The sequence below is a fragment of the Homo sapiens genome, chromosome 4 (genome assembly GCF_000001405.40).
Source record: "Homo sapiens chromosome 4, GRCh38.p14 Primary Assembly".
Lineage (NCBI taxonomy): Eukaryota > Metazoa > Chordata > Mammalia > Primates > Hominidae > Homo > Homo sapiens.
In genome coordinates this window covers 142,227,756-142,242,137 of record NC_000004.12, presented here as the reverse complement: position 1 = coordinate 142,242,137, position 14,382 = coordinate 142,227,756, and the positions used below count along the sequence as shown (strand labels likewise).

General features: G+C 33.6%; 1 protein-coding gene across 64 annotated transcripts in view; it reads left to right on the top strand.

The window, feature by feature from the left end:
- INPP4B (inositol polyphosphate-4-phosphatase type II B) overlaps nt 1–14,382 on the top strand; it is an 823,376-nt gene that overhangs the window by 604,398 nt on the left and 204,596 nt on the right. For all 64 annotated transcript variants that reach the window (NR_169617.1, NR_169615.1, NR_169599.1 and 61 more), the window contains one exon: nt 4,127–4,274. Coding sequence is in view for 54 of the 64 variants with exons in the window: in NM_003866.3 (NP_003857.2) it covers nt 4,127–4,274 (148 nt within the window). In the remaining 10 variants the exon portion in view is untranslated. The remainder of the gene's footprint in view (nt 1–4,126; nt 4,275–14,382) is intronic.

Here is a 14,382-nt window from a genome sequence, read left to right as displayed (position 1 = left end):
GTCTAATTGGATTACAGACTTATCCTTAGAAAGTATAATGTAGCTTTTGGAGAATAGGCAATATAGATACATTTAGCTGAATAATTAATTAAACAACTACATAATTAAAACTATGGAATGAATAGATTCTCTACAAGAATCTGCAGTGTAGTAAAATAATGAATGTACTGCCTGAAGCCAATCAAGTTGGATTCATTTAAATATGCTGCTTCTATCGTGTACTGGAAGCAAGAAAGTGTGTGAAGATAATCACAGATTAGCTTCCTCTGGAGAAACATATAAACGATAACCTGGTGAAATAAATGTTTGAGCTTTTTGATTATCCCCTGGACCCTGAATCTGTATTTCCAAAATTTCTTGTCCAGTCAACCCACTGATATTCCTAGCATACCTTTGTTTACAGAAACAGCAAAGAGAAGGCCATCCCTATGATATCTCTTTGATTTATCTTTTCTGCCCCAAGGTTACTTGAGCAACAGTCTTTTCTATCTGTGTTGGCTCTGTTGAACATTTCCTTGGCATCCTTACTTTGGATAATTTAGAACTGCAGCAGTTTGGCTTTCACAATTACTGAATCCCATGAAAAAGCAGGTGACATGCTACCTTGTTAAATGTCCCTATTACAATCTGGGAGAAACAATATAGAAATTTGAGTTGTGCTGCAATTTCAAAGGAAAGAAAAATCTGCCGTTTACTTTCCTTCTATGTGTTCATCTCAAGGGGTGGATCTCAAGGGGTGGACCTCAAGGGGAATGTGTCAATCAAGATCTGGACTAGTTTAGAACTTTACTCACATTGTCATCACAATACAATGATATGGTCCAAAATGTCTCAACTACTTTTCTTTTGATATAATCGGTCGCATGATATTTTTAGCAATTGTATGGCAAAAGCAGTAAAAAAAAAATGAAGATGAGAATACACACAGGGCTCTCTTTAAAAAGAACTTATAATAGGTATTACATAGTTATTGAGATAAGCCTATTGTATGGATAGCAAGCCATCTCCTGCATGAATAAATACTTGCCACCAGTGGAGAGCCAGAGATGAAAGTCATTCACACAGTTATTTGCTTATTTCCACAGCTGGAGTGTGTGTGAGCAGAGTGTGTATGCTATAGAGAAGAATCTTTTTTTTTAAAGTTGACAAAACATTCATCTTTTGTGGCACATTGTTCAATATTCGATACATGAGTACCGTGCCTTTCTTTTATGTGCGATAACAAAACCTCCCCACCATCAGACCATCAAGAATTTTGAGTTGAGAACATTTTATTTGCTCTTTTTGTAACCAGTGCAACAAATCTGCATGGTATTTAAAGTTCAGACCCAGTTTCTTTATTTAAAAAATAATACTCTGTTATACTGTATTTTATGATACATAGGAGGTATTCTTGCATCAGACATGATAGGTGTTTAATAAGCAACACTGCTGGGTCAAACTGGGTTGCAAAGTAGATTCCATTATATCTACATTGAGATAATGATAAAGATACGCAATTTAGTACTAATGTTTGGAGTATGAGTCTCAAAAGATCAGAACCCATAACATAAAAGTTAAATAGGCAACATCACTGGCAATTTTTTGTATGATTAAATTGCCTGGTTTTTAAATTGTTACAAGTATTTTCTTTATAAATAGCAGCATTCCTAGAGAGTCCTTGGATGATGTGTACCTGGTAGTTACAGGAGAGTTCTGGTGTTCATTAATCAAACCACCCTTGATTTCTGTTTAATCTATTTCAACAAAGGTTTATATTCAGAGTGCATTGAAGAGTATTAGAATGGAAACAATAAGGCCAGGCGTGGTGGCTTGCACCTGTAATCTCAGCATTTTGAGAGACAGAAATGGGCGGATAGCTTGAGCCCAGGAGTTTGGAGTTTAAGACCAGCCTGGGTAACAATGGTGAAACCCTGTCTTTACAAAAAAAGAAAAGAAAAAAAAAACTGGCATGCTCCTGTAGTCCCAGCTACTTGGGAGGATGAGACAGGAAGATCACTGAGATCACACTATTAAGCTCCGGCCTTGGTGACAGAATGAGACCCTGTCTCAAAAAAAAAAAAAAAGAAAACAATAAACTAAAAATTAGAAGGATTCGTTTTGAGATCAACAAAGGAAGACTTTTATATTTTGTGACATAATTAAAAATACAGTTTTTCTAAAAAATTATTATTGATGTATAAAAGGCAAGCAAAATCCAAGGATTTTTAACCTTGCTTTAGGAGATACAAAAGTTCTGTGTGATCATGAAAAAAAAAGAGGTTGAAAAATAGCACTTATACTGACTCTAGATAAACTAAGTAACTAAATATTTATATATGTTGCTAAATAAGAAACAATTTGGCCATTTTAAGGACTGAAGTTTGTCTTACCATAAAATAATGCATGCTTATTCCTAACCATGTTAGATATATTGGGAATTCATGAGATCTCATATTTGGTATATGGACACCATAATAAATTTAGTACATATTTTTTCTCTTCCTATTCCAGAGATACTATAATAGAAGCAGTAATCAAATTCTTATATCTTTGAAACACTGTCACTTTACAAATGACTAAAACTTTTTATTTTCTTTTATTGATTGGCTGTAAGTTCTTATATTTCAGGCAAAAGAAAGTAAAGATAATGAACTCTAAATATATATTCTGTAAACAACCAAATTGACAAAATTTAAATATTGTGCTTATATTCAAAAGATAATCTTTGGGAGCATACAGCTCTAGATTTTAAAATGCAGTATTTTCTCTCAACATGCTAGAAATAGTGTACTTTCTTCTGGCTTCTGTTGGTGCTGTTGAAAAGTAAGCACTCTAATTCTTGGCAGGACGCATGTACATGTACTAGAAGTTTTGAATCTGGTGGTTGAAGAATGGGATGTTCGAAATCAAAATTTCCATTATGGTACCAATTTTGATAATGATAATGTCCCTAGTGTACCTTTGAGAATGGATGATTGCAGAGGAAAGGATGAATAGATCCTCATTTCAGTGTTCAAGAAGATATATTTTTACCCAAGTAGTGAATGAAATATGTTGTTCTTACAGACCCTAAAATTTTGAAAAGAATTTTTCCCTGTACATTGAGAAGATCTAGCCGACATACCATGTTCAGTATTTTTTACAGCCTTCTGCTTCAATATCAACTGATATTTTTAATTAGCCTTATTGTAAACTGAAGCCAGCTAATCATAGATTCTTGACTGGTGACTGACTTGATATTTTGTTGCCCACTAAGCTTTGGTGTGTAAGTGTGACATAGGCATTCATTGCTGAAGAGCAATGGAAATGAAATTCTCCCCTGATGACTTGAAAGTGTGGTATGAGTACTGGCTTCACTAATAAGTATCAAATGTTATCATAATATCTAATCCTATATGCTTTTTCTGAAGTTTTTTAAAATTGTGGTTACATGACCTTGTTCCTTTCCCCTCCACCCTAAATACAGTTTCTTCACAGTCTCTCTGCCTTGCTTCTGATAATACATGGTTTCAGAAAAGTGTGTTATTGACTCATTGGCACTAAAGTATGCTTGGTATTTGAATTTTTACAGATTTTAAGACAAAAGAGTGAACCTTTCTGACACGTAAGAAATAACATTTAGTAAGACCTTTTGTAACTCCTAAAATAACATATCAGTTTGTGACCTGCTATGTAAATAGGTAAAGTTGACTAAAAGTGATCAGAAGAAATTCAGAAATATATTTGTTCAAAGTATATATTAGGTGTACATACTTATGCTTTAATGTATGTTTGTAGACACATACACTTTATAAAACTTTAGAAGAAGAGAAGAATCAATAGGTAGTAAACTAGAAAGCCACAGTAGCCACATTTATGATTTGGAGTTTGATGTATAATTTTTTTTAATTTAACAAAGATTATATGTCTCAGAAGCTACTGAAAAAAATAAGATGTCAAAATAAAATTCTTAGAAATTCAGATACACTAATCAAAATAAAATTCTTAGAAATTCAGATACACTAATGGATTTTGATTTAAAAAAAGACATTTTGGATCAAATGAATAATAAAAATGCCATCTTGATTAATGGTTTTATTAATTGAGCTTCACCTGACATGCATTTGCTTAGAATTTAACTATTATTTTTTCTTTTTTTTTCCAGTGTTAAAGAACCCAGTATGTAAATTATATAGATTTCCCACATCTGACAATAAGTGGATGCGAATTCGAGAGCAGATGTCAGAGAGCATTCTTTCCTTTCATATTCCTAAGGAATTGATTTCCCTTCACATTAAAGAAGATTTGTGCAGGTAAGAGAAAATAACTATTTTCTCTCATATTAATTATTTTATACCATTTAAAAATTTTTAATTGACAAATTATATATAATCTGTGCAACATTTTGAAATATGTATGCATTGTGAAATAGCTAAACCGAGCCAGTTAACATTTGCCTTACCTCACGTACTTATCAATTATTATTTTTTCTCTAGAACATTTTTTCTATGTTATCTATTTCTATAGATAACATAGAAATCTAGACCTGAACTGTCCCCTATGGTGGCCACTAGTCCCATGTAACTATTGATTACTTGAGATATGACTAGTCCAAAATGAAATGTTCTATCAGTGTAAGATACACACCAGGTCTTTAATTCTTAGCCACGCTTGCAGATGATTTAATAACAAAATATTAACTTGGATATATTGGGGTTATATAAAATATATTATTAAAGTTAACCTCACCTGCTTTTTTATTTAAACTTTTAAAATATGGCTACTAGAAAATTTAACATTACATATATTACTTTCATCTGTGGTTTGAGCTATATTTCTGTGGATACCTTGGTATCTGGCCAATAATTTGAGCTTTGATCTTGTAATAATTCTTGTGTCTTTTCCTCAACTGCTTATGGTTGCTGTTTCTGGAAGTAATTCCTATTTGACTCTCCTTTGGACTTCTCATTTGTAGCGAGACTTTCAGAAATTTATTAGTCTAAAAACTACTGGAGATGACTGAATAAAACATGCTATGCTAATGGACAGTATTGTACAACAAAATTAAATCAGTTGCTATAATAAGGTAGAAGGATTTGAGAGCTGATTGGTTGATAAGAGTATCTCTGGACCATGACTAATCAATTTGTTTCTCTGCCTTTTAAACAAACCTGTAATAGCATTAAAAATGCTGAATGCTACCTTATATAAAATACTGTTAAGGTTCTAAATCTCATTAAATTAGCAACTTTTAAAGCGTTAACACTTTTTAATTGCTGAAATCTACAGCAGAGTGTGAAATTTCTAGCAATTGGGTTCCTGCCATATGCTCACATTAGTACACATAGTTATTTAATAGTATTTTACTCTTTTGGTCGACTCTGAAGCCCGTAGGGATTCCATATTGACCTAAGCCAGTGAGGACACCATAGACAGGGCAGGTAAAATTGGAAACTATTAACAAAATTGGTTAGAGTAGGCATGACTGCAGAAATATGAAAACAGAACCCCAATTTCAGGGAAATTAGACAGGAAACTGGATTATTAAAATATAATCTGCATCTAGGGAAATAAAGACTAAAAATGAGACAGAAAGGTGAATATTTGAGAGTAGCAGAGTGAGGATAATAAAACCAGAGAAATCAGACAACATGTATGGACTCAGGCAAAGAGAAGCTATGACATGTTCAGGAATCTAAGCACATTCCATAAGAGCCAACTGCAAGAGGAAGTTAAGAAGCCAAGTTATCCTGAAGTGGGTTTTCAACATTATCCCTACCTAATACTATTAGGCAATAGACATGGTAATGTAGGCAATAGACAAAACACATTACCTGGAAGGATAAAGCAAGCTTATGTATTACAGTAGAAGCATAAGGAGTTTGGATTTTGGAAGTCATATAAGAGTCATTATGCTCAACATGGTTGCGTTCTAGACCACTGGACACCAAGAACCACTCTTACTAGAGCCATGTAATGATCACCGTTTTATCCTGAAGGGTTGAAGACAGTAGCTAGTCCTCACAGGAGTTATGTAGAATAAGGAAAGACTCTCAGTAGACAAGCATGAGATTCCAGGCAGGACCTGAGAAACACAGAAGAGGAGTTGCCAGATGAAGCAGACTTAATAATTTAGGACTAGGGCTTACCCTTTAAATGGCTCTGGAATAGCTACATCTAGCATAGCCAAAACTAGATTTCTAATTACAGTTAACAATAATTTATTCTATAATTCCAAATACTTAGAAGAATTGTGATGTTCACCACACAAAGAAAAGATGAATTTTTGAGGTGATGAATATCCCATTTACTGTGATTTACACATCATATACAAATATCAAAATATCACATGTATCCCCAAAATATATACAACTATGATATAGCAATAAAAAATAAGATAAATGAAATAAAATGTCTGTGAAGACATAGACAATATAAAATAATGACATGTCAGGTGGACGCGGTGGCTCACGCCTGTAATCCCAGCACTTTGGGAGGCCAAGGCAGGTGGATCACAAGGTCAGGAGATCGAGACCATCCTGGCTAATACAGTGAAACTTCATCTCTACTAAAAATACAAAAACAAAATTATCCAGGCGTGGTGGTGGGCGACTGTAGTCCCAGCTACTCGGGAGGCTGAGGCGGAAGAATGGTGTGAACCTGGGAGGCGGAGCTTGCAGTGAGCTGAGATCGCGCCACTGCACTCCAGCCTCGGCGACAGAGCGAGACTCCGTCTCAAAAAAATAAATAAATAATGACATGTCATAAAACACTGAAATTCATTAACATATATTCATTAACATAATATATTATTATACTATATATAGTATTTAACATAATAACTAATTTTAGCCTAATATTTTTGGGTTGAAAATCTTAGTTGATGGATCATTAACACCACTTCATTTAAAAATTCAACAAGCTAGGAAACGAAAGAGTAAAGATATAGACTCCGTCTTGTGCCTCTGTCTTGGGTCTTCAGTTTAGAAACCTCTTAAAGGATGAGCCGCTGTCTTTCTACTGCTTGTCTGCTACTTTTGAGTCCTTCACAGTGCTATCTTCAAAGTCCACCTCTATTTTCACTAATACTCCTCTGTCTCCATTCATTGATAGCAAATCAAGGGAGAAAGAATGAGTAGGGATTTGGGAGAAAGAAACTAATAAACTATTGAATTTTTGTAGGCATAGCCACTGTCATTACTATTGTTGTTATTTGAACACATCAAAGTATTATCCACCTACCCTCTTCTCTCTTCTCTTTATGGCTTTCTCTGTATCTCTTTTGTTATTTCCGTATGCTTCACAGCAAAACATTTGCTAACACATGGAAGGGGCTGGTGGGCACTTTTGGGAAAGACAAATAAACACTGCCTCCCAATATGAAGTTCCATTGCCAGAGATAAAATTAGAAACTGGAATTGTTCAAAGAAGAAAATTACATTTTAATTCTACAAAAACAAAAGGTATAAAAGCCTGATAGATTCCAAAAATTCACCAGGGTCTATGATGACCAGGCTGTATAGTTTTGGCTTTCTCCAATACCTTTTCTGTATAAATCTCCTATCATTAGAATTTATTTAAAAATTCAACAATTAATGTTTAACATTTTATAACGAAAAGGAGATTTTTAAAATTCTTCCTGGAGACTCAAAGGGGAAATAGGAAAAGCTTGTAGGAAAATTGGCCAGCTGTCTCAGTAGAGTGTAAGAAGATACAGTTATTGTAAAACAGAATAAGAAATCTATACAAAGAGAACCAACTAAAGAAAAAAGGTCATGAAGAAAAGTGTAATGCACTAAATAATGAAATTTTAAAATGCAGTGGCCACATTAAATCCACAGAGCCAGCAGAAAAAGATTTAACACTAAGAAATCATGTCTGTAATTTGGAAGACAAACACAATACGCTCTTCCTAAATGCTAAAGAAAGGTGTAAAAAAGTTCAAATGGATGAGAGAAAAGATGTTAGATGTGCAGGACAAAGAGCTGGACATTGCTAAATAATTTTAAGTGTTCTTAGGGGAAGAACAGTTAGTGCAAAAACTTGATAAAAAGCATTAAAAAGATTCCTGAATCTACAGTTTTGTTTTATCTTTTACATGCTAAAATCAGGCTAGCATTATACTTCCCTGTAGAACCCAGTGGAACAGTATCTGCTGATTTCTGAGAGAAAAAGGCAGTGGCTTTACATTATTATATAGGGTTAGGTTATAAATTTTTTATGGACGAAGCTGATGTACTTACATATGCAAGAGCTCAGAAACCATTACACACCAAACATTCTTGAAAATCCTACTTGAAGATATATCCTATCCAACTGAGAAAATAGTTTAAGAATTACATTTGTAATATAATATAAAAATTAAATTATATTATGATATAAAATTAATATACCATAATGTAAGAATTAAATTAGGCATGTTAAGAATGGGAAATTGTCCTGTAAAAGAACCTGAAGCATTCTTCTTGGTGTAATCTCCAGGGCAAAGCTTTACTCTGAAGTTTTTTCTCAGCTGCTCTTCCACTACCTCTACTCAGATCCCAGAAAGTGTTTTATTTGTACCAACTTCCCTCCCAGTCTCACAATTCAGATAGACTCTTACCTTGTTTAATGAAAATGACAGGTGCTTTAGTACCATTATGTTTCAATAGTTGCAAAGAGTGCAAACCATTCATTTATATGCTTGGAAATCCAAACTGGAAGAACCACTAAGCAAAAATTTTGCTTGTTTTTTCTCCATAAAGACAGAAGTTGTGCCTGAGAAACTTTATGTTACAGTCATTTACATTGCTAAAGACACAAAATAACTATTTTCTGAAATTTTAACATAAATATTATCTAAATTGTAACTTTTTTGGTGAAGAGCAGTAAACCAATGAGTAGCAGATACAAACTGTGTCTAAGTCCCTTTCATATATTGTTCTGTATAGGACCTGTGGGAATACACATACACTCACTCACACACACACACACACATATACAGACACACACACATGCATACCTGAGAGATATTGTGCACTCAGTTTCAGACCACATTCATCAATGATAGCCACCGTCATCAATGATCTCAGCTAGATCTTCTGGATAACTTGCTGCAGATCCTCCATCAGCGCTTGCTGCTTCACCTTGTACTTTTATGTTATGAGGAGGGCTTCTTTCCTTAAACTTCATGAACCAATGTCTGTCAGCTTCAAATTTTCTTCTTTGGCTTACTCACCTCTCTCAGCCTTTATAGAATTGAAGAGAGTTAGGACTTTGCTCTGGATTAGAATTTGGCTTAAGGGAATGTTGTGGCTGGTTTGATCTTCTATCCAGAAAACTCAAAACTTTCTCCACATCAGCAATAAGGCTGTTTTGCTTTCTTATTATTTGTGTATTCACTGGGTAGCAATTTTAATTTCCTTCAAAAACTTTTTCTTTGCATTCACAACTTGGCTGTTTGGCACAAGAGGCCTAACTTTCAGCCTTTCTTGACTTTTGACATGCCTTCCTCACTTTAATCATTTCTAGCTTTTGATTTAAAGTGAGAGACATGTGGGCCATTGTAGGGTTATAGATTGGCCTAACTTTTATATTTTTGTGTTTCATGGGATAGTGAGGCCCAAGGAGAAGAGGGAGGGAGATGGTGGAATGTCTGATCAGTTGGAACAGTCTGAACACACAACATTTATTGACTAAGTTCACCGTCTTTTAGGTGTGGTTCATGGCACTCCAAAATAATTACAATAGTAATATCAAAGATCACTGATCACAGGTTGCCATGACTGATATACTAGTGAAAACATTGAAAACATTGCAACAGTTCTAAAATGTGACACAGAGATAGGAAGTAAGCACATGCTGTTGGAAAAATGGAGCTGGTAGACCTTCACGAAGGATTGCCACCAATCTTCAATTTGTAAAAACAAACAAAAAAACACAGTATCTGTGAAGAGCAATAAAGCCAAGCACAGTAAAACACAATAAATATATATGTAAAATATATGATTTTTAACAAAAAATTAGTAAATACAATATGAACTCATTCATGCCCTACATGAGGGGTAAGCAAAAACTTTTTCTTAAAGGGCAAGATAGTAAATATTTTTGTCTTTGCAAGGCATGTGATCTCTGTCCTTACTACTTAGCTCTGCCATTGTAATACAAAAGCACTCATCGACAATATTTGCATGATTAATTGTAGCTGTTTCAATAAAACTTTATTGACAAAAGCAGGCCTGTCTTTTTAATTACCAAGATGATGAATTTGTAACCATAGTCAATCCTTGACTTCTATGAAGTCAGGATTTTTAAAATCCTATACTTTCTTTTTATAATAACTTGACCCTTTACCTCTTTTTTAAATCCCGATTTGAAACATTTATGTATAAGCTGATGAATAAACAATTGTGAGTTGGTGTGTTGCCATCACTCTATAGAAGTGTTTAGACAATTATTTGAATATTTTCTTACATAACGGTCTCTACTTTTCCAAGGGAGTGGAAAAGGGAGAATTTAAAAGGCTGCTATGATTGATATCAATTTTTTCACCTCACAGATAAAGATTTCTTGAATTTTTACTGTGGATTTACTTGTGAAGGAAAATAGCAAAGGAATAGAATTAAGAAAATGTTATATAGAAACGTCTAAATATATAGTCAAACTATATATTACAAACAAGATATTATTAGTGGTTTCATAATTTTTTTAAATCAGCGAGAATGAAATCCCACTCATAACATTAAAGTATATTATTAACTTTCACACATCTAAAGTTGGTGTATACCTGAAAGCATAAGTCCGTGTGAGTCTTGTTTGCAGAAATCACGTATATGTGCACTGTTTGCTTATTTGTGTAAAGCATACACATATGTAAAATTGAGAATGGAGGAAGTTATTCTTTGCAGCCAATCCTGACATTGAGTGGAAATGTTGGCAGGGACATAACGGCGCAGCAACTGCTTTTGCATCACTTGCACATAGTGTCTGTCTTGCCTGCAGCTGCCATCAAAAAACACACTTGCTGTTAGTCTCTTAGTCTCACAGTTAGTGTGACATTTGGACTCAACATGAACTGTTTTTATTAAATTTGAGATGGTACATACACAAAGTCTCAGGGTTGTGATACACTTTAAATCCTTTGGGGGCTCCCTTCAATTGGCTTAAGCATTAACACCTTCTGAATTCAAGTTTGAAACATAGCAGTTTTTGAATTGGCGGTGAAGTGTTCTCATAACACTATACTTTTTTAATATTATGGTTTAGTTCCAAAAAAATTCACAAGGAGGAAATGTTAGATATCTCTCAAGTTGTTTACTGCTGTGAAGAAAGGCTCATATGGGGGCTTAGTAATTTTCTGATTCTTTGCTCCTGCAGCCACAGTTACAGATATATAAAATGTATATTGAGTTTTTGCCATGAAAATAATACATGCTCACTATGTGAAATAGTAAAAATATAGAAAATTTATAAAAGAGAAAAGATAAAATCACTTCAAATCCACACCAAGGAAGGCAATTTTGTTTTTCTTTTCTTTTTTTTTTTTTTTTTTTTTGAGGTGGAGTTTTACTACTGTTGCCCAGGCTGGAGTGCAATGGTGTGATCTCGGCTCACCAAAACCTCGCCTCCTGGGTTCAAGTGTTTCTCCTACCTCAACCTCCAAGTAGCCGGAATTACAGGCAAGCGCCACCACGTGCAGATAATTTTGTATTTTTAGTGGAGATGGAGTTTCTCCATGTTGGTCAGGCTGTTCTCGAACTCCCCACCTCAGGTGATCCACCTGCCTCAGCCTCCCAAAGTGCTGGGATTACAGATGTGAGCCACCGCTCCCGGCCTTGTTTTTATTTTCTACATCTACTGTCATCTTCATGAGCCTCGCTGTGGTAGAGAGAGGTTTGTTTCCTGTGACCATCACTCTCTGTTATCATCCTTAATTTTTCCTGCACATCTGAGTTATATTAGGTATACATCTGTGATTCTTTGTATAATGTTAAATAAAACTATAGGCTACTAATCAGTTAAAAATATTTTAATTTAATACATTAAAAAGACTAGAAGGAAGTATACTAACATATGAACAATGGTTATTTCTTGGTGATGGATTTAGAGTAGTAATTTGTTTCACAGAAAAATAAAATGAATACACGAACCCTTACAAGTAGTCTAGGCTATTTAGACTTGCCAGTTAGTGGTACCTTGGTTTCTTCTAGTTTAAATAGCTTACTTCCCATCTAAATATCAAAGTCTGTTCAAAATTTAGCTTCTCCTCAGGCTTGGTTTAAAAAGTTTGGATGACTCTATCTTTTTAGAAAAATTAGCAGTAATTTAGAATTTTACTTTCCTTCTTCCCTATCCCCCCAAAAATATACAGGTAAATGAGGTCAGCTTACTATGTCTTCATAGCATCAGTAACAAAGGGATTCTTGATTCCTTGTAGTATTATTTGGATGCCTAGGAGTTTCTATTATGGGATGACCGATAATCATGGAGATGCATTAGCTTCATCTGGCTTTTGAGTGATATTCTGGCATCTCTATTTGTACTTCCTTGCATCTGATCTTGAGGTGCCTGCACTTGAGAGTTGCTTGGTCCTGATCATATGCCTCTATCAAAACATTGGCATTTTCAGGACTTCCGTAAGCCCTCAATGGGATGTGTATAATCTTTTAGATTTCTTATACACCATTCACCGGCCATGTGGAAAGCAGGGCGGTATTCATCTACCTACCACCTTCCACTATCAGTACCACAAATGGCTTATCTATCATCTTGAATAAGGCACCATTGTCAAAGCCTTATATAGTTCATGTATTAATAGTGCTGTATATTTTATATAGGAATCTAAATACTTTATTGAGAATCACACTATGCTTCATTTTATAACTTTATTTTTCCCCGTTTATCATGTATATTCTGACATCCTTCACAAATGGTTCCCTACAGTATGATTTGTAATGGTCATATGATGTTCTGTCATAGAACTGCTCCATAAGGGAAATATAAATTGTTGCTTAAATTTATATTATACATCAATATATATTAAACATATTATATAAATAAATTAAATGTAGAAAACCTTATAAATACATATTCGTGTACATCTTCAGTATTCTCTAGGTTTAAATACAATAAGTGAAATTACTGAGACAAAGTGTGTATGTATTTTAGGGCCTTGGTTTTATATTTCAGCTTGCCTCTAAAAAGTTTGCATCAATTTTACTTCCATCAATTACATAGGCAAAACTTAAACTCTTATTACTTTTTAAAATTATAGTTTTTGATTACCTGTGTGGTTGAACATTTATCTATATATTTATTACAAATATCCACACAAATACACATAAATGCTTATGTGGAAACTGGGATATTCCTATTTTTCCTTTTGACTTACAAGAGCTACTTGTATATTTAGTATATATTCAGTATATATTTCATGATATATATTTTTCAAATATTATCTCTAATTGTATATTTAAAATTTATTTTTATTATAAAATTGCATGTGTATTTTTTCTATTGTACTTAGAAAGTTTAACTTTATTCTGAGATCAGTTCAATATTAAACAGTAAACATGTTAGTTATTTGGAATTTATTAGTTAGCATGTTGTAAAAGTAGATGTCATTTAGTGCATTTTCATTTCTTTCTCACCTCCTTATAATACTGCCAACTTTTTATGTCTCCTCACTATCTTCACCAAAGTAATTAAGAAAATTAAACAGTGACAACAACAACAAAATTACTTTTAAAAGAACTGATAGCTTTGGATATTCATTTTTTACATTTAAGTATATGGTCTGCTCAAGACTTCTTTTCTACATACAATGTGCTTTTATAGTTTTGTTCCTATAGATTTTGCATTTTTTTAAAAAAGTAATATATTTGATTTGTATTGATCTTTTAAAAAAATTCTTATGGATTTATCAATTCCACATTTCCTGTTGTCTTAATTTTTTCTTTTTATCTGTATTATCTTTAATCTTTTTTAAAATACAGACTTCCTGCATGGACTGCATGCTGCTTTTATTTCTATTCTGTCTGTTTAAATGAAGAAACTATTTAAAAACTATGTGATAAAAAAATATTTGTGATGAGCAGATCTTAGATCACATACACAAACCTTGACGTGCATGTTTCCATTTTTAGTATTTTTGAAAGTCTTTAATTTTAGTTTTATTCCATCCTTGACCAAATGTTATTCAGAAAATTTTCTTTTTGAAGATGTTAGAAATTTTGTTTTTACCCTTGGTTTAAAATTTTTAAGTATATTCTGTTTTTCTATTTAGTTTTTCTTGAAACATACTGTTTAATTTTTTTTCTTTTTTTTTTTTTTTTTTTTTTTTAGATAGAGTCTCCCTCTGTTGCCCAGGCTGGAGTGTAGTGGTGTGATCTTGGCTCACTGCAACCTCTGCCTCCTGGGTTCAAGCAATTCTCCTGCCTCAGC